This window comes from Homo sapiens, chromosome 11 (genome assembly GCF_000001405.40).
Source record: "Homo sapiens chromosome 11, GRCh38.p14 Primary Assembly".
Classification (NCBI taxonomy): domain Eukaryota; kingdom Metazoa; phylum Chordata; class Mammalia; order Primates; family Hominidae; genus Homo; species Homo sapiens.
The window spans coordinates 6,586,069-6,603,633 of record NC_000011.10 but is presented as its reverse complement, the minus strand read 5'-3'; the positions used below and the strand labels follow the sequence as shown (position 1 = coordinate 6,603,633).

At 44.1% G+C, this 17,565-nt stretch overlaps 1 protein-coding gene across 1 annotated transcript, besides 5 other annotated features; it reads left to right on the top strand.

Annotated features, from left to right (window-relative positions):
* On the top strand, positions 18–8,562 carry RRP8 (ribosomal RNA processing 8). Its single transcript, NM_015324.4, has 7 exons — positions 18–230; positions 1,419–1,782; positions 2,032–2,485; positions 2,579–2,708; positions 2,859–2,965; positions 3,052–3,148; positions 3,369–8,562. Exons 1-7 carry the CDS (start codon positions 132–134, stop codon positions 3,486–3,488), a joined length of 1,371 nt encoding a protein of 456 aa, NP_056139.1. The 5' UTR covers positions 18–131; the 3' UTR covers positions 3,489–8,562.
* Positions 59–248: an enhancer, noted in NCBI's record as "active region_4344". NCBI's record gives its function as "activates an Ori minimal core promoter by ATAC-STARR-seq in GM12878 lymphoblastoid cells {active_cell/tissue: GM12878}" and the evidence as "EXISTENCE:reporter gene assay evidence [ECO:0000049][PMID:35858748]".
* Positions 244–785: an enhancer, noted in NCBI's record as "H3K27ac hESC enhancer chr11:6624079-6624620 (GRCh37/hg19 assembly coordinates)". NCBI's record gives its function as "activates a minimal SCP1, AML or CMV promoter by ChIP-STARR-seq in naive H9 embryonic stem cells {active_cell/tissue: H9 hESC(naive)}" and the evidence as "EXISTENCE:reporter gene assay evidence [ECO:0000049][PMID:30033119]".
* Positions 4,761–5,055: a silencer, noted in NCBI's record as "tiled region #2811; K562 Repressive non-DNase unmatched - State 17:Gen3'". NCBI's record gives its function as "represses a minimal TATA promoter and a strong SV40 promoter by Sharpr-MPRA in K562 cells {active_cell/tissue: K562}" and the evidence as "EXISTENCE:reporter gene assay evidence [ECO:0000049][PMID:27701403]".
* Positions 15,465–16,453: an enhancer, noted in NCBI's record as "H3K4me1 hESC enhancer chr11:6608411-6609399 (GRCh37/hg19 assembly coordinates)". NCBI's record gives its function as "activates a minimal SCP1, AML or CMV promoter by ChIP-STARR-seq in naive H9 embryonic stem cells {active_cell/tissue: H9 hESC(naive)}" and the evidence as "EXISTENCE:reporter gene assay evidence [ECO:0000049][PMID:30033119]".
* Positions 16,454–17,442: an enhancer, noted in NCBI's record as "H3K4me1 hESC enhancer chr11:6607422-6608410 (GRCh37/hg19 assembly coordinates)". NCBI's record gives its function as "activates a minimal SCP1, AML or CMV promoter by ChIP-STARR-seq in primed H9 embryonic stem cells {active_cell/tissue: H9 hESC(primed)}" and the evidence as "EXISTENCE:reporter gene assay evidence [ECO:0000049][PMID:30033119]".

Below are 17,565 nucleotides of genomic sequence, written 5' to 3'. Positions count from 1 at the left end.
TCTAGCAACCCCTGGCTGTCACGCTTTGGTTTCCGGGTCGGTTCTGGCAGGTCTGAGCGCTCCGACTTCCAGAGGAGCGCTGTGCACGTGGAGAAGAGCGGGGACTCGGCGACCCTGCCCTCCCGACCCTCATGTTCGAAGAGCCTGAGTGGGCCGAGGCGGCCCCAGTAGCCGCGGGCCTTGGGCCCGTAATCTCACGACCTCCGCCTGCGGCCTCCTCGCAAAACAAGGTGAGTGACTCGCGGGAGCAATGGGAGCTGTTTCAGGCCGCGAAGCGGACATTGGTGGATCCCAGCGCTGTGTGTATTGCGGGGAGGGACACCTGTGGCACCGTTAAGGGCGAGTCCTGATCTGAAGATCCGAGAACTTCCAAAAGAAACTGACGTTGGGTCAGAGAGAGTTGTTGAGTAGAAGTTGGTGAAGCGAAGAGGGTTCTTCAGACAGGAAAAAGTACGTACAAGGGCCCTGGGACAAGAGAGCATGTTCTGTCAGAGTCACAAACACAAGTGGTCCTTGTGGTTGAAATACATAGTAAATGAAAGGGGCATATATGCTGTTCAAGTTCAAGAGGTAGAAGTTTTGCGTATATTGAGAATAGAAGCCAATGAAAGGTTTTAAGCAATGGAATTATTTCTTCAGATTTGTATTTTGAAAGGGTCGTCGGTTACAGTGTGGAGGATGGATTGGAGACAGTAAGAGTTGTCAGTATCATTGTTCAAAGGAGGGTGTGGGAAACTTAGAATCAGGGTAAGTGCCTGGCCTAGGATTACCTGGTAGGACTGCAACACAGAATCAGCCTTCCCGACAATACATCTTCTCCTTTGAGCCTCTGCAGATGTGAGGGCCCTGCTTCCTCAGGCTTTTCTTACCCTTCAGTCTGCCTCCAACATGGAATCGGCCTGCTTTGTTTCCTCCTTTTTCATCCCCTAGCCCCATTACCATTGTCCAAGCCGCTGGCCTCTCTGTCTGCAATTTCTCCCCTTCAGTTTGTTTTCTACACTGCAGCTAGAGACATGTTAAATATTTAATATACGTGTGTGATCATGTGTCTCCTGTGTTCAGAAGCCTCCTTACCTCTTACAGAAATGTATCAGCTCTAGGCAAAAGCTCAAGGTGAAGGGTTGGAATTCCTGGTCTCTGGCCTTGGTCTTGTTGCTTGTGGCCTTTGCATTTTCCTTTGGGGAAACCTCCATTAGCTCATTTACACATTGAAGAAAGTGGGATAGGTGGTTTCTCTGCTCTCCAGCTTCCCAGAAGTTGGGGTGGTGACATAAAAGTTCTTCTGGGTTCTGGCAGGCTTGACTGGGAAGAATTCAGATGCTTCTGCCAGTCTGAATCAGGTCCACATCTCTCCCTTCTTGTTCTCCAGGCCTCATCCATTCTCTTTAGGCCCACTGTCATCCCCTGTTTTCCTCCAGGGCTCCAAGCGCCGCCAGCTCTTGGCCACATTACGGGCCCTAGAGGCAGCATCTCTTTCCCAGCATCCCCCCAGCCTATGTATAAGTGACTCTGAGGAGGAGGAGGAGGAAAGGAAGAAGAAATGCCCCAAAAAGGCATCATTTGCCAGTGCCTCTGCTGAAGTAGGGAAGAAAGGGAAGAAGAAATGTCAAAAACAGGGCCCACCTTGCAGTGACTCTGAGGAAGAAGTAGAAAGGAAGAAGAAATGCCACAAACAGGCTCTTGTTGGCAGTGACTCTGCTGAAGATGAGAAAAGAAAGAGGAAATGCCAGAAACATGCCCCTATAAATTCAGCCCAGCACCTGGACAATGTTGACCAAACAGGTACCATTGGATGTGTATATGTGTGTGTGTTGGTGTGTGTGTGTCGGGGGGTCAGCTGGTTCTACATACAAGAGTGATTATCCACTGCCATTAGGATTGGGGCTAATGGTGTACTCAGGCAATAAGAAGTACTTCTCTGCAGGCCACAGTCACGATCTCAAAGACAGAGGTATGGCTGGGATGACTTGCCGTGACTCCGAATGTAAGAGATCTTGCCTCATGTGCACCTTCCCATCTCCCTCCCTGTAGGTCCCAAAGCCTGGAAGGGTAGTACTACAAATGATCCACCAAAGCAAAGCCCTGGGTCCACTTCCCCTAAACCCCCTCATACATTAAGCCGCAAGCAGTGGCGGAACCGGCAAAAGAACAAGAGAAGATGTAAGAACAAGTTTCAGCCACCTCAGGTGCCAGACCAGGCCCCAGCTGAGGCCCCCACAGAGAAGACAGAGGTGTCTCCTGTTCCCAGGACAGACAGCCATGAGGCTCGGGCAGGGGCTTTGCGAGCCCGCATGGCACAGCGGCTGGATGGGGCCCGATTTCGCTACCTCAATGAACAGTTGTACTCAGGGCCCAGCAGTGCTGCACAGCGTCTCTTCCAGGAAGACCCTGAGGCTTTTCTTCTCTACCACCGCGGCTTCCAGAGCCAAGTGAAGAAGTGGCCACTGCAGCCAGTGGACCGCATCGCCAGGGATCTTCGCCAGCGGTGAATGGGGGTCAGGGACTGTGAGAAGCCATGTGGTGGGTCAGTCATAGGCTCAGATCAGACCAATATGTGACCCTTGCCTTCCACTCTCAGGCCTGCATCCCTAGTGGTGGCTGACTTCGGCTGTGGGGATTGCCGCTTGGCTTCAAGTATCCGGAACCCTGTGCATTGCTTTGACTTGGCTTCTCTGGACCCTAGGGTCACTGTGTGTGACATGGCCCAGGTAAACCCCTATGTTATCTGGCTTGTGCTCTAGGGCCAACCTCCGTATGCTAATCTCTAACCCTTCCTTCCCCTTTCCCATCCTGGTATCTCAGTGCTGGCTTTCTTCTTCTGCACTGTGTGCCTTATACAACACTCTCACTCTCCACAGGTTCCTCTGGAGGATGAGTCTGTGGATGTGGCTGTGTTTTGCCTTTCACTGATGGGAACCAACATCAGGGACTTCCTAGAGGAGGCAAATAGAGTACTGAAGCCAGGGTAAGAGCCCCCAGGACACAGATGCATGTATGTATGTGTGCATGCATGAGTCTGTGCACTTACACAGAACTTTCTGTCTTTCTCAGGGGTCTCCTGAAAGTGGCTGAGGTCAGCAGCCGCTTTGAGGATGTTCGAACCTTTCTGCGGGCTGTGACCAAGCTAGGCTTCAAGATTGTCTCCAAGGTGAGGGCCCCAAGACATCTGTACCTGTTTTTGTCTCATGTGGCCCTATTCAGGGTACTGGTGTTCAGGAAGGAGGCTTTAGGCACAGGAACAGACATTTTGCTCCCCAACGGAAGTGGGAGCCCTGGGAAGCTTTGTGAGCAGAGGCAGTACATAGAGGGAGGTGTTTTAAGGAGTTGGGATGAGGATTTGGTTCTCACTGGGTCTTTTCTGCCCCTAGGACCTGACCAACAGCCATTTCTTCTTGTTTGATTTCCAAAAGACTGGGCCCCCTCTGGTAGGGCCCAAGGCTCAGCTTTCAGGCCTGCAGCTTCAGCCATGTCTCTACAAGCGCAGGTGACCTCTGGATCTTCCTTGAAAGGGGAGGCAGATCTCAAACTCCAGGCTCAGAACTGTGAAGACTGTTTCCAGCCTGGCTGTGAGCCAAGACCTGGTTCCTGGTGGACCCTGAGGACAAAGTGTGATAAAACCTCTGGCTCAGACTTGCTCTACTGAAGGCTTCTTGGTTATAAGATGCATAAAGTCACTGGGGCTAGCTAAACAATAAAGAGTTTATTGTGAGAACATGGGGATATCTGTCTCATGACACTTCAGGTGTTATGAAAACTAGATGGTTTGGAATTCAAGGCATCTTTAGGTTTTGCTCTTCTTTCCAACTAAGAAGCCACATGGCCTTCCTGTCCTGCCATCTCCACTCTGCTGTCATCTGATCTGTCTACAGATCAGCTTCCTCTGCTCACCCATAGCTTCTGCTCCTTCAGCTTCAGTTTGCCCAGGCCTTCAAGGTTGCAGACAGGCAGCTGTTGCTGTTTGACTCTGAGGCAACTGGTTGTCCACCAACATCTTGGCTCAAGACATCAGTCTGAGCCACCAACTTGAGACTGTTTGGTTGTCCCCATACCGAGCATTTCTAGTGGTTTATCTTTCCCCTCTCCCCTCATCTCCATTTTTGGAACCATATAGCATCAAGCCACTCCCAACACCTATTGTCCTGTGGGACTTTGGGATGTATATAGCTGAGAGCACAGATTTTGGAATCAGGTAGACCTGGATTTAATTCTTGGCCTGCTACCCAGAGGCACTTAAAGTCATTTAATCTCTGTATATCACATTCCTCATTTGGAAAATGGTAGAATTTTTGTCTTGCAGGGTGGTTGTGTGGGTTAACTGGAGAAATCTGTAGCCAGGGCTGGGAACATAGGAGGTGCTCAGTAAACTAGCTATGACTATTATGTGTTGTAAGCCTTATTGTTTTTTGAAGATCTTCCCTAGGCTGGTTGGAGGCTGAGGGGTAAAGAATGGATTTGTTGACTAAGGAAGCCTCTGGGAGAGGCTAGACCTTTCAACAGGCCTGCTTCATAGGCTATTTAATGACTTTTAATAGATTCTGAGCTTCTGTCCTTGGAGGGGTAGTGAGGGAGCTGGGTCTCTGTTCATAAACAACTTGTTGATGCCATGTGGGCTTGGGGGCATTGGGCTGTTCATTGGCGGAAGAGTCTGTCCACTATCTCTGCCTTGCAGTGGACTCAGATCAGCATGTCCTGGGAAAGCTATAGGCAAGGTGCTGAGGGAAGGTGAGTTTGAATGATAGATTCTAGGCCTCCCCCAAAAGGTATCTGCCATGTGCCCAGGTATAAAGATATGGCCTCTTGTACTTGTTTCCAGGAATACCTGACAGTACCCATTGGGAGATCATAGGTTCTATGCCCTGAGCCAGTTGGATGCCTCTAATAAGGGGATGGAGGTTTTGAAACAGGCTGTAGTCCAGAGGGCATGTTTGGAGGCTGGGCTGTGAATCATTAGGCAGGCACTACACAGTGCCTCTACACGTACTGTTCTTTCTGCTGGATATTCATCGGACTGGCAGTTTGCTCATCTTTCCGAACAGCCTAGTTGTTTCCTATTCTACTCCCAAAGCAAAATCAGTTCTTCATCTGTACTCTCAAAGTACTATGTGAAGAGTGCTACTTCAGCTTCTAAATATTGCATTGTGATTCCTTTGTGCATTTGGCTGCTGTTTTCTCAAGCCATGTTTATCTTTGTATTCCCGGAGCTTGTCATTTGAGATATAGCCAGTGTACTTATTCACCTAGGGAGAGATAAGGAATGACAGGGTCCAGTTGAGTGGGATAGATGAGAACAGGGGTGTTATAGAAACCCAGGTACTAGGGCACAAGATGAGGGCACTGTTGACTAGTCATGATGGAAGAAGTAGGCAGACAGGAGAACTTCATTAGGTAGAATTGGTGGGATGTTGAGGTTGGTAAGAGAGGAATCTGAAGTAAGTTCCAGGTTGCTCAACTGTGGGTAGGCTGGTGATGCCATTCAAAGTGTTGGATTTTAGGAAGTGGGACATGCGTGAAATCTGTGCTGGGGGTCTGGGAATCAGCAGCCTAGAGGTGGTAATTAAAGTCAGAATAGATGAGATATTCAGGGTAAGATAATGAGAAGAGAAAATGGCTCAGAATAGAACTGAGGAGCATGTCATGGATGGGTAAAGGAAAATGAAGCAGTGAAGGTGATGGAAGAGGAGAAGGTTCACCCAGAGATGTAGGAGTAAAACCAGGAGAGTTAATTTTTTTTTTTTTTTTTTTTTAAGACAGAGTCTTGCTCTGTGGCCCAGGCTGGAATGCGGTGGCGTGATCTCAGGTCACTGAAACCTCTGCCTGCTGGTTCAAGCACTTCTCCTGCCTCAGACTCCCGAGTAGCTGGGAATACAGGCACATGCCACCACGCCCAGCTAATTTTTGTATTTTTAGTAGTGACGGGGTTTCACCATGTTGGCCAGGCTGGTCTCGAACTCCTGACCTCGAGTGATCGGCCTGCCTCGGCCTCCCAAAGTGCTGGGATTACAGGCATGAGCCACTGTGCCCAGCCAGTGTTTTTTTTTTTTTTTTTTTTATGGGAGGATGGGCAGGTTGTTAGCTGTCGAGTGCTATTGAGATGAGAGAGAACTCAGAATGCAGTGGGGTAAGGATTGCTGAGTAATGTGGAGGGCCTGTTTGAGGTAAATGGCAGTGGTAAGAGGTTGCTCCATTATGAAAGCCCTCTTCCAGAGTTCCTGATAGGGCCCCAGAAGTTCATTTCTGATTGCTTTGATTTTTTTTCAGGGGAGCAGGAAGCCAGTTTATCATTTGAGAGTGAGAATAGGGGAGAGGAAATATCTTCCAGGCCCACAGTGCATAGAAATACCCAGTCAGGGCAAAATGATTTATCTGTTTACCTCTCCTCATCACTTGGGCCCAGAGCAATCAGCAGTGATTAGGTAGAGAGGAGCCGAGCAGAGGGAAGAGCATACCAATCACTCCTCCCTTTCCCAGTGCAGGCTCCTAGACTTAGCTGGGGCAGAGCTGGGAGAGGAAAAAGGGATTTAAAACTGCAACAGGTGCAGATTATTGTTACACAGGATTAGACATTCTAATTAATTGAGATTATGTTTGTTCCTTAAACTGATCACAGGACTATCTATTAAGAACATCACAACCTCGCTGCAGCTTTTCTCCATAGCAGGGAGAGTACCTCCCAGTGAATAAAATTTGGAGGGTGGTAAGAGACAAGAATAAAATTGGGTTTGGTTATCCGTGCCTCATGCTTGTTCAGCATCCCTTTGAGAGTTCTCCAAATAAATAGTTACTGCTTCTGCAGTTATTGGTGTGCTCCAGCTTCTGTTCCCATAATATAGTCCAGTCCTAAGGGAACACAGTTCTAAAAGAAACAACATGATCTTGGCAGAGACACCGCTCAGCTCCAAACCCAACCATTTATGTAACTGCACAAAACTCTCTACAGCTTTTCACAGAGACCAGTAATTAGAACCTTTCATCCCCTGGTCATCCTCCTTCCCAGGTGAATTCTCTGACCAGCCATCTGGTTTTAGGATACCCAACTCCTGCAGTAACTGCCTTACTGGTGGTCTAATTGCTTCTACTCGTGTCCCTAAAGCAATTAATTTTCCACACAGCCATGTGATCTTTTTAAAATGTAAATCAGCTTATGTCACTTCTCTGCTTAAAATCCTTCAATGGATTCTCACTGCCTCGAGAACAAAAGACAAACTTTTCAGGCCCCGTGTGATCTTGCCCAGGCCTCCGTCACCATCACCATCTGCATCTTAACCCACTCCTCCCCTTTCACAAAACTCCAGCCACACAGACTTGCTTTTTATTCCTCAAGCTTTCCAAACTGTTTCTACTGAGAGTCTTTGCACATGCTCCATCTTCCTTGAATACTCTTTCCCCAGTGAGCTCATTTTCATCTTCCTGAATTCATACCACTATTACCTTTGCTTCTGTGGAAGAAACTGGCCAGATGCTCACCCAAATGTCCTCTTTCTGGACACAGGTAAACTGCATTTCCCAGCTCCATGCATCTAGGCCTATGTGAGTAGTTCTCAACAGTGGAAAATGAGTGGAAGTGATGTTTCAATACTAGACCAAGGCAGTTAAAGGGTGGCTGAGCCATTTCCATTATTCTCTTCCTCCTTCCTCTTCAAGGTAACCTTGAAGCACATGTTTTGACGGTGATGGAGTCATAGCATAGAAGAAGTCTGAATACCTGAGTTACTATTTAGGGCATAATAGCTACTTGACCAAAAACATCCATATTGGACTTTGAACAAGAAAATAAACTTGATTACATTCTGCTAGTGAGTTTTGAGGGTGTTTTAGCAGTTATCATTATATACACTGGATATATCTTCTATGGTATCCTGTCCACCTTACTCTTGACCACAGTACCCTCTTTGTTTCCTTCAGGGTGTTTCAGATATTTAATTATCTTGCCAGATGCCAGTCAACACTTTCTTTTTGTCCCATGAGTTTAAAATCAGGGGAAAACATGTACTCCCAATAGGAAGTTGAGATACTCTTTTTTTTTTAAATCCGTCATTGTGACTGTGACCGGAAAAACAAATCCCACTAAAGAATGTCCTAAACAGATGTTTTTTTTTGTCATATAACCTGGAGTTAGGTGATTTGGCATTGGTTCTGGAGCTGAAGGATGTTAGGGATGAGGTCTCTGTAGTTTTCTTGTCTCATGGTCACGAAATGAAGTGTTATTGATTAAGCAGGGATGCCCTACTTAGTATTAGACTTCTTGGAAGTCTCCTTAATTGCCACAGCCCCTATCTTTTTGGCTTCGTTTCAAGGGTCCTTCTACATTGTTAATACTCTGGTATAAATACGTTCCATTATTCCCTATAACATGACTGAAACCAATCTAAAGTATTAACATTTTAAATATGTTTTTGGGCCAAGTGCAGTGGCTCTTATCTGTGATCCCAGCTACTAGGAAGGCTGAGGTGGGAGGATTGCTTGAGCCCAGGAATTTCAGGCTGTAGTGAGCTATGATTGTGCCACTGTACTCCGGCCTGGATAACTGAGATCCTGTCTCAATAAATAAATAAAACAATTATATATATGTATAATATATAATATTATATATACATATGTATGTATGATGCTTTTCATCCCCACCCTTTCCCACATCTCAGGAACCTGTCAGCAACTTATCCAGTTTAAAGCTGCTGTTCCTCTACCTCAGTGGTTTGGGAGAACATGGTCATTATTTCACTCATTCTTTACTTCCTGTCTCTTCTAGGATTGGAATGGGGGAGGGCATATTAAACGAAGAAAGTCTCAGCTTACGTGATTAAGGTACCATTGGTGTGTTCTGTGCAGACAGGCATTTAACTGTTGACTCCTTTGTGAGCTCTTGGGGTTCTCTGGAGCTCTCCATGAGGACTGGGGCACTAACTGACTTTGGTTGCCTCTTTTTGATGCACAGCCCACACTGCCCTTCAGCTCTTCAGCCCCTGACCCTGACAATGTACCCACAGCCTCCTCGTGCTAAAGTGCTTCACCCTTGTACGCAGCTCTCCTGGGAATGGTCCCAACAAACCCTCAAGACTGGTTACCTTTCATGGAACCCACAGGAAATGCATGCATATTTGTCCTGCCAAACTGGAAGTGCAGCCCAGCCAGCAGCTTGCTTTTCTCACCCTGCCTTGTCGCAGCCAGCCTGACTCTTACTTATACATCTGAGAAGTGCCAGTCTCTATAATTCACATGGCTCCAAATCCTCATAAGTGGTTCAGGTTATGTTCTCCCAAGAATCCTCCATGCCACATTCCACCCTGGTGGCCAGATGGAGATGGGTCTGTACATTTCTGAGCTTACCAAGTCTCTATCTAGAGAATATAATGCTGAATGAATGTAATGCCTCTCCCTCACATGGGAACACTAAATATCTACAAATGGTTCTATTGGAGCCCTCCTCACTCAGTTTAGAATGAAGGGAGTGCACTACTCCTTTGTCTTGCAGGGAGAAGTTATCCCTATTCCTAAAGATTCCCATCAATGAATCTTTTATTTCTAATCTCACATATAATAGAAAGTGTAGTGGTCTGTGGATCAGCTTTACTATCTTAGAATAAACTTCATGTGGATATATCTAGTACCTTTATTTGGAATGTGTTGGTTCCTATCACCTCTTGTCCTCAGTTTCGGTATGTTATCCAAAGATCTTAGATAACTGAAAAACTCTAATTTAACTTTCTCTTTTATGCAGATATTCTTATTATATGTGGTTTCCTTTTTTGTGTGTGCTTTATTTCTGTGGAGTATTGCCTACAAATCTTGTCTTCTTTTTAAAATCACTCAACTGTGTTTTTAATATTCATTCATGTTATCAGTCAGGACCCAGTCAGGAAAACAGAAACCACACTAAGTATTTCAAGAAGAGGACTTTTAATACAGAGACTTAATTACAAGTATTAGAAGACTGAAAGAGTAGAAAGAAGTTGCTGTTGTAACTAAAAAATTAGTAACTGCAGAAATCAGAATATTCCAAGGCCTGTGAAAACAAAAGGGAAGAGGTGATGTGATTACCAGAAACTAGGAGCTCAGAGAAGGGGCCTTCTTTGACTGATACTGACTTTTATGGGAGAAGCTCCCTCCAGGTATCTTGGTGCTTATACCTCTGAGGAAAGGCATGGCCCTGAGGGTGGGAAAGCAAGGGATGACTGATCTCAGACTGCCAAGTGGGTAGTCAGACTGCTGCAAATATCTCTGAGAAGTGTGGCAAAGCTGATGTTGAGTGCAGAACTAGCTAGTAGAAGCCAGATGTCTGCAGCTGAGATCATGTGACAACTGGAAAACAGGAATGAAGTCTCTCCTATCTTTAAGGGTTCCTTTAGGGTATCCCATTGGCAGACCCTAACAGGAAATTTGGCAATGGGGTCTGGGAAATGTTTGTAGAACCCCAGCTACAGCAACACAGCCAGAATGTGGGGGTGGGGGTGGGTAGAGGAGAGAATTGGGGGAGTTGCAGGGGGAGAGATGGAAAGGCTAGCAGCTGAAAAAAAATAGGTAAATAACCAGTGTATTCCATGTAGCTGTTAATCTAGTTTGTTGCTTCCATCAGCTGCAGGAGTATTCCATAGTATGCATCCACCATAGTAAATTTATCCATTCACCTGGTTGCCTCAAATTCTTTGCTACCTGGAGAAATTAAAACCCTTGAAGCTAGGGTTCTGAGTACAAGATCAGTTCCACCAATTAGATTTCTTCATTTGAGATTTGGGAGGTAAAGGCTGTCTTTCTGCTGTTTTGGTTGTTGCTGCTGGAAAGCAAGTTTATGTACATATTGGGCTTTCTGCAACAGCTTTCCAGCTTTGAAAACCTGCAGCATTCCCATTGAAGCCAAGAACAAAATAAGGATGCCTACTGTAATGGATAAAGTTCAACCTCGGACTGGACATTCAACAGGTAAAATAAATCTACTCTGTAATAGTATAAGTTTGACTACAATAAACTGTGGTTAAGAAGAAAAATTGGCCGGGCATGGTGGCTCATGCCTGCCTGTAATCCCAGCACTGTGGGAGGCCAAGGTGGGCGGATCACAAGGTCAGGAGTTCAAGACCAGCTGACCAACACGGTGAAACCCCATCTCTACTAAAAATACAAAAATTAGCTGAGCTCTGATGGCGCACACCTGTAATCAGGAGGCTAAGGTAAGAGAATTGCTTGACCCCAGGAGGTGGACATTGCAGTGAGCCGAGATCGCAGCACTGTACTCCAGCCTGGGCGATGGAGCAAGACTCAGTCTCAAAAAAAAAAAAGAAAGAAAAATTATTGGAAGGATAGCAATAAGTAATTCACAGAACTGTGAAGTCTGGAGGTGAGGCATGAAACAGATAGGAATCAACAGAGGATGAACCACTGCAAAAACTAAGGTAATATGTTAGAATCAGTCTGGTAAGGATGGCACTGCTGGCACCACTGCTATTGGGCTTTTCTCTTGCTCTTGGTACATAGATTAATGAGAATTCTCAATTAATGAGAATTGAGTTAATCCTCCTCCTAAGTTCATGACACTATGTTAGGATCAGTCCATGAAAGGCCCCCCTCCTGTTCTTTTATTTGTTCCCTTCATTCCTGATTTGCACTTCAGTTCCTCTTGTGTTCCCCCACAGTGCATTCGTTGTATGTCCCTAGACACATATGTGTCTTTGGCAATATATATGGTGGTTTTGGTGTATGTATGTTGTGGCAGAGACTTGCCAGCTGTTTCTAACACCCATTTTCTTCCTGGGAAATCAGCTGGATTGTATTTTCCAGCTTCCCTTATAGTTAAGGGTGGCCATGTGATTGAGTCTAACCAGTTGGATGGTAGTGAAACTAATGTATGTTATTGCCAAACTTGGGTCCTTAAATTTTCTTATGCATAGTCTCTCATATCATAATCAAATTGCTGAGAGCCAAAGATAAAACATGGAAAATAATAGACACATGTACAGAGAACAAGGATATGACTTAAAAGGCAATGTCTCATCAAAAACAATGGAGGACAGATGATACTGGAATGACATATTCAAAGTGCTTAAAAAGGAAAAAATATGTCAAACAATAATTCTATATCAAGCAGTTTTGTTGCCTGGACTCAACATGAAAACAAGATAAACACATCTTGAATGGGGCAGGAAGGAACAAAAACAAGAAATTTATTGCTAACAGACCTGCATTACAAAAAATTAGGTTCTTTGGGCTAAGGAAAAATGGTACCAGATGGTAACTCAGATCCACAGAAAAAAATAAAAAGCACCAGAAATGGCAAATATGTGGACAAATGTAAAATCTCTCTATTTTCTCTTCTTATTTATTTAAAATACATAGAACTATTTAGAAAAAGTATAACACTTATGTATTGGACTTATATATTGATTATATATACATGGCAATAGCTCAGAAGGTGGGGTGGGGTGGGGGAATTTATTGGAGTTATATTGCTGCAAGTTTACCATATTTTACCTGAAACAACTTAGATTATTACCCCTAAGTGGACTGCAATGAGATTTATAGTGTAATCCCACTAAAATATAATGTGAGAGGATTGCCTGAGGCCAGGAGTTTGAGACTAGCCTAGGCAACATAGTGAGAACCTGTCGCTACAAATAATAATAATAATAATCAAAGCTCTCACCTCAATAACCTAGGAAAAAAATAGCAAAATAAATCCAAAGCAAGCAGAAGGAAGGAAATAATAAAGATAAGAACAGAAATCCATGAAATTAGAAACCGAAAAACAATAGAGCAAGCCAATGAAACAAAGGGCTGGTTCTTTGAAAAGATCAATAAAATTACAAACCTCTAGCAAGACTGACAAAGAAAAATAAGAGAAAAGACACAAATTACCAATACCAGAAATTAAATATCACTATAGACTGTACAAACATAAAAAAGTAAGGGAATACTGCAAAACCTCTATGCACATGTTTTTGACAGTTTAGATGAAATGAAACAACTCCTCCAAACACAAAGTGCCACAACTCATGCAATATGAAATAAATAATTGAAGTTGCCCTGTAACAACTCAGGAAATTAAATTTATAATTTAAAAATTCCCAAGAAAAAAAAACTCCAGGCCCTGATTGTTTCACTGGGGAATTTTACCAAATGTTTAAAGAAGAAATAACGCTAATTCTATAAAATCTTTTTCAGAAAATAGAGGAGAACACCCACCAATTCATTTTATGAAGCTAATATTACTCTGACACCAAAACCAGAAAGAGATGTTATAAACAAAGAAAACTACAGACCAATATCTTTGATTAATATAGACACAAAGTTCTTAGCAAAATTGAATGCAACAATATGTAAAAAAGAATTATACATTAAAACGAAGTGGTGTTTATTCTAGGGATGGTTCAATAATAGAAAATAAATCAATGTAATCCATCATATTTTAAGGCTAAAGAAGAAAAAATTACAGAATTATATCAATAGGTGCAGGAAAAAGTACTTAACAAAATATAATACCCATTTATGATAAAAACTCTCAGAAAACTAGGAATAGAGGAAAACTTTTTTAACTCCATAAAGACCATCTATAAAAATACATACAGCTATTATTACACTTAATGGTGAAAAACCAGATGCCTCTCCATTAAGATTAAAGAGAAGGCAAGGATTTTCACACTCATCACTCTTATTGAGTTTAATATAGTGCTAGAAGTTCTAGCCGGTGCAATAAGGCAAGAAAGAAATAAAAGGTATATAAATTAGAAAAGAAGAACTAAGCTGTCCCTATTTGCAGATGACATGTTTGTCTACATAGAAAATCCCAAGGAATCTACAGAAAATTTTTAGAATTAATAAGTCAGCTGCGTGCGGCAGCTCACGCCTGTAATCCCAGCACTTTGGGAGGCCGAGGTGGGCAGATCACAAGGTCAAGAGATCGAGACCATCCTGGCCAACATGGTGAAACCCCATCTCTACCAAAAATACAAAAATTAACCAGGCGTGGTGGCGTGCACCTGTGGTTCCAGCTACTCAGGAGGCTAAGGCAGGAGAATCGCTTGAACCTGGGAGGCGGAGGTTGCGGTGAGCCGAGATCAAACCATTGCACTCCAGCCTGGGCAATGAGAGCAAAACTCAGTCTCAAACAAACAAACAAAAATAAGTCAGTTCAGCAAGATTGCAAAATACAAAATGAACATAAAATACAAAATACACTATTTCTATATACTAGAAATGCACACATAAAAATAAAATTCCATTTACACTCAAAAAAATACTTGCTGTAAATCTAACAAAACATGTATAGAACTTCTATGCTGAAAACTATACAACACTGATGAAAGAAAAGATCTAAACAGAGAGAAACAAAGATCTACATAGAAAACAAAGATCTAAATCCATGTATATGGATTGTAAAACTCAACATAGTAAAGATACCAGTTATCCTCACATAGATAAAGAAGTCTAACAATTCCTATCATAATCCCAGCCAAGATTTTTTGGAGACAAAGAAAAGATTATTCTAAAATTTATATGGAAAGGTAAGGGAATCAGATAGCTAAGATTTTGAAAAATAAGAATAAAGGGAGGACTGAATCTACCCAATTGTAAGACTTACTGTAGTTACGGTAATCAAGATTGTGTAGTATTGGTGGAAGGAAAGAGATAGATACCTAAATCAATAGAATAAGATAGAGAACTCAGAAATAAAGCCACGCAAATATGTCCAACTTATTCCTTTGTTTTTGACACAGGAGATTCTATAACTTTTAATTAATCAACTGAACTGAATGGGTACACATTTATTAAAGCATTTTAAAAGACTAGAACAATAATCATGTCATAATCTACAAATATGAATGTTGTTTTTAGAATGGCTGCTCCATATCCCTTTATTTGGATATATTATAATCTAACTAGTACTGTATTATTGGATATTTGTTTTCTCTGATTTTTGTAAATGTTCATGTTCTCTGCAATCAACATCCTCTATATATACATGTTTAACGACTTTTTAAAAATCAATTCTTTAGGGAAAATAATCTTATAGGGGGATTTACTAGGTCAAGGGCAATGTACAATTTAAAAGTTTTTTTTATATGTGTTGCTAAATTGCCTTCCAGACTTATTGAACAGATTTAAATTCTCATCAGCAGTGTCTGAGATTGTCATGGGAAAACTTTTCAATGAAGTAACCCCAATTGATCTATAGCACTTTCGGTTGCTGAGAATGTCTAATAAAAGCAAAAGAACAAATGAAACAAACTATTTCCCAATGCAGTGCTTCATAACCTGGATGCACCCATTTCCTATTCCTTATGTTATTCCTTACTTCTTCCAATGTCTACTTTCTTTTTAATTTTTATGAGTATGTAGTACGTGAATATATTTATGGGGTACATGAGATATTTTATTACAGACATACAATGCATAGTAATCACATCAGGGTAGATGGAGTATCCATCACACCAAGCATTTATCCTTTTTTCTTTGTATTACAAACATTCCAATCATACTCCTTTAGTTATTTTAAAATGTACAATAAATTTTTGTTGACTGTAATCACCCTGTTGTGCTATCAAATACTAGATCTTATCATTCTAACTATGAATATATTTTTGTACCCATTATCCTCATTTGTCTGCCCACCTCCCACACTGACCACCACTATCTTTCCCATTTTTCTACTCTTTATCTCCATGAGTTCAATTGTTTTAATTTTTAGCTCCCGCAAATGAGCGAGACCATATGTTACGGGGTCTTTGGGGTGTTGTTTTTCTGTCCAGAAACCTTTGTGGCCGGTAGCTTCTTTGCCCAAGTTTTGCTCGGGCCCGCTGGGCTCATTTCACCCACTCAGCCTGGCAGGCTGTGCTTGGCTCACTCTACTGGCCTGGGTCCCATGCCTGCCAAGAGCAAGTCAGGCATGGAATGGCAAGGAGAGTGTGAGCAAACACAGGGTCTGGCTACTGCACACAGTTGGGCATGCTGGCTGCTGCAGCAAGGCGAGCAGCTCCAGTTGCCAGCACAGGTGCCAGCTCTCTGCGAGTCTGCAGCCAGACCAGGTGCATGGCAAGCAGCTTCCACGGCTGGCACCAGGGAACACATTGGTGCCCATAAACTTGGAGACACCAGGAATTGCAGGGTCCCAGAGAGGGGGTCACAGCCCTGGCTTGGGGAGCTCCCAGATCTGGGCTCTTTGAAGGGCTGCAGCTCTTCTTTCCTTCTCTTTGCCCCCAATGTGGTGGGCAAGGGGCATGTCTCAGCACTGTTTGTGTTACAGCTCTTTTAGCCTCGCCCTTTGGTGGGTCCCGAGTTTTTGTCCTGCGACCAGGAAGAATGAGGTATGCAGACAAGTGGAGAGCGAGCAAGACAAAGGGGAGGTTTATTGAGCAATAGAACAGCTCAGAAGAACCCCGCAGGGGGCAGCTCCTTTCTGTAGCCAGGGTATCCCAACAAGTATTCAGCTCCTAGCAGAGAGGGTAGCTCCTCTCCACTAGGCCACTCATCCCAACAAATGTTCAGCTCTCAGCAGAGAGGTGCCCCCCAATTGGTCCATGGCGGCCATGGCTGGCTGGGAAAAGTGCCACGAGTTCCCACTCCTGTCAGTGGTACTGGAAACCCAGACCCCAGCCTTCAGGCCCTCCCTGGCCTGAAGGTGGGGCCTCACCCAAGACCTACCCCCTTATGCCAGGAACCTGTCTGCCTCCTCTCAGCCCCTCCCTCAGCTTCCCTCCTATGCTCATTGGTGCCCAAAGCCCAGAGGGAGCCGAGGCAGCAGGAGGCTGGCGTGGCAGCCCTGCCCTGAGCATGTGCACACCCGGCCGGGCCATGACATAACAATGCCTGGGCTCGGCCCCGACTGTGCTGTGAGATCGGAGAAGTGCCGACAGCAGGGAGAAGCCACGCATGGAGACCAGGGCTCCCGCCTGCTCTTTGTAGCGGGAGGCCCAGATCTATAGCCTTGGTTTGAGTGGCTGCAGCTGTGCCCAGGAGGGCGGGGCTCCCGCCTGCTCCTGGTCCCGAGAGCACAGGGATGCCTGGGTCCACAGCTGTGCAACAGCACCAGGGGAGCTTCCGCCGGCTCCATGGAGCATGCAGCCCTGGCTGTGCCTCCCTGTGCAGCCAGAGGGATGGCAGCGGCCGCTCCAGACGGCCTGCCGCTGCCATCACGTGCAAAGTTTGTCTTTCTGTGCCTGGCTTATATCACTTAATATCTGTCCTCCAGTTCCATCCATGTTGTTGCAAGTGACAGGATCTCATTCTTTCCTATAGCTGAATATAGTATTTCAATCTGTATATGTGCCACATTTTCTTTATCTATTCGTCTGTTGATGGACACTTAGGTTGCTTCTGTATCTTGGCTATTGTAAATAGTGCTGCAATAAACAGGGGAGTGTAGATACCTTTTCTATATACTGATTTGTCTTTTTTGGGGAGAGGAGTATATACCTAGCAGTGAGATTTCTGGATCATATGGTAGTTCTTTATTCAGTTTTTTGTGGAACCTCCATACTGTTCTCCACAATGCTTGTATTAATTAACATTCCCCCCAACACTGTACAAAAGTTTATTTTCTCCCCATCGTCACCAGCATTCATTACTGCCTGTCTTTTGGATAAA

Excerpts from the sequence above, each read along its gene's own strand:
- RRP8 (NM_015324.4), top strand. The coding sequence starts at position 132 with ATGTTCGAAGAGCCTGAGTGGGCCGAGGCGGCCCCAGTAGCCGCGGGC. Across the intron at positions 231-1,418 it reads CGGCCTCCTCGCAAAACAAG|GGCTCCAAGCGCCGCCAGCT; the intron begins GTGAGTGACTCG and ends GTTTTCCTCCAG. Across the intron at positions 2,966-3,051 it reads AATAGAGTACTGAAGCCAGG|GGGTCTCCTGAAAGTGGCTG; the intron begins GTAAGAGCCCCC and ends TGTCTTTCTCAG.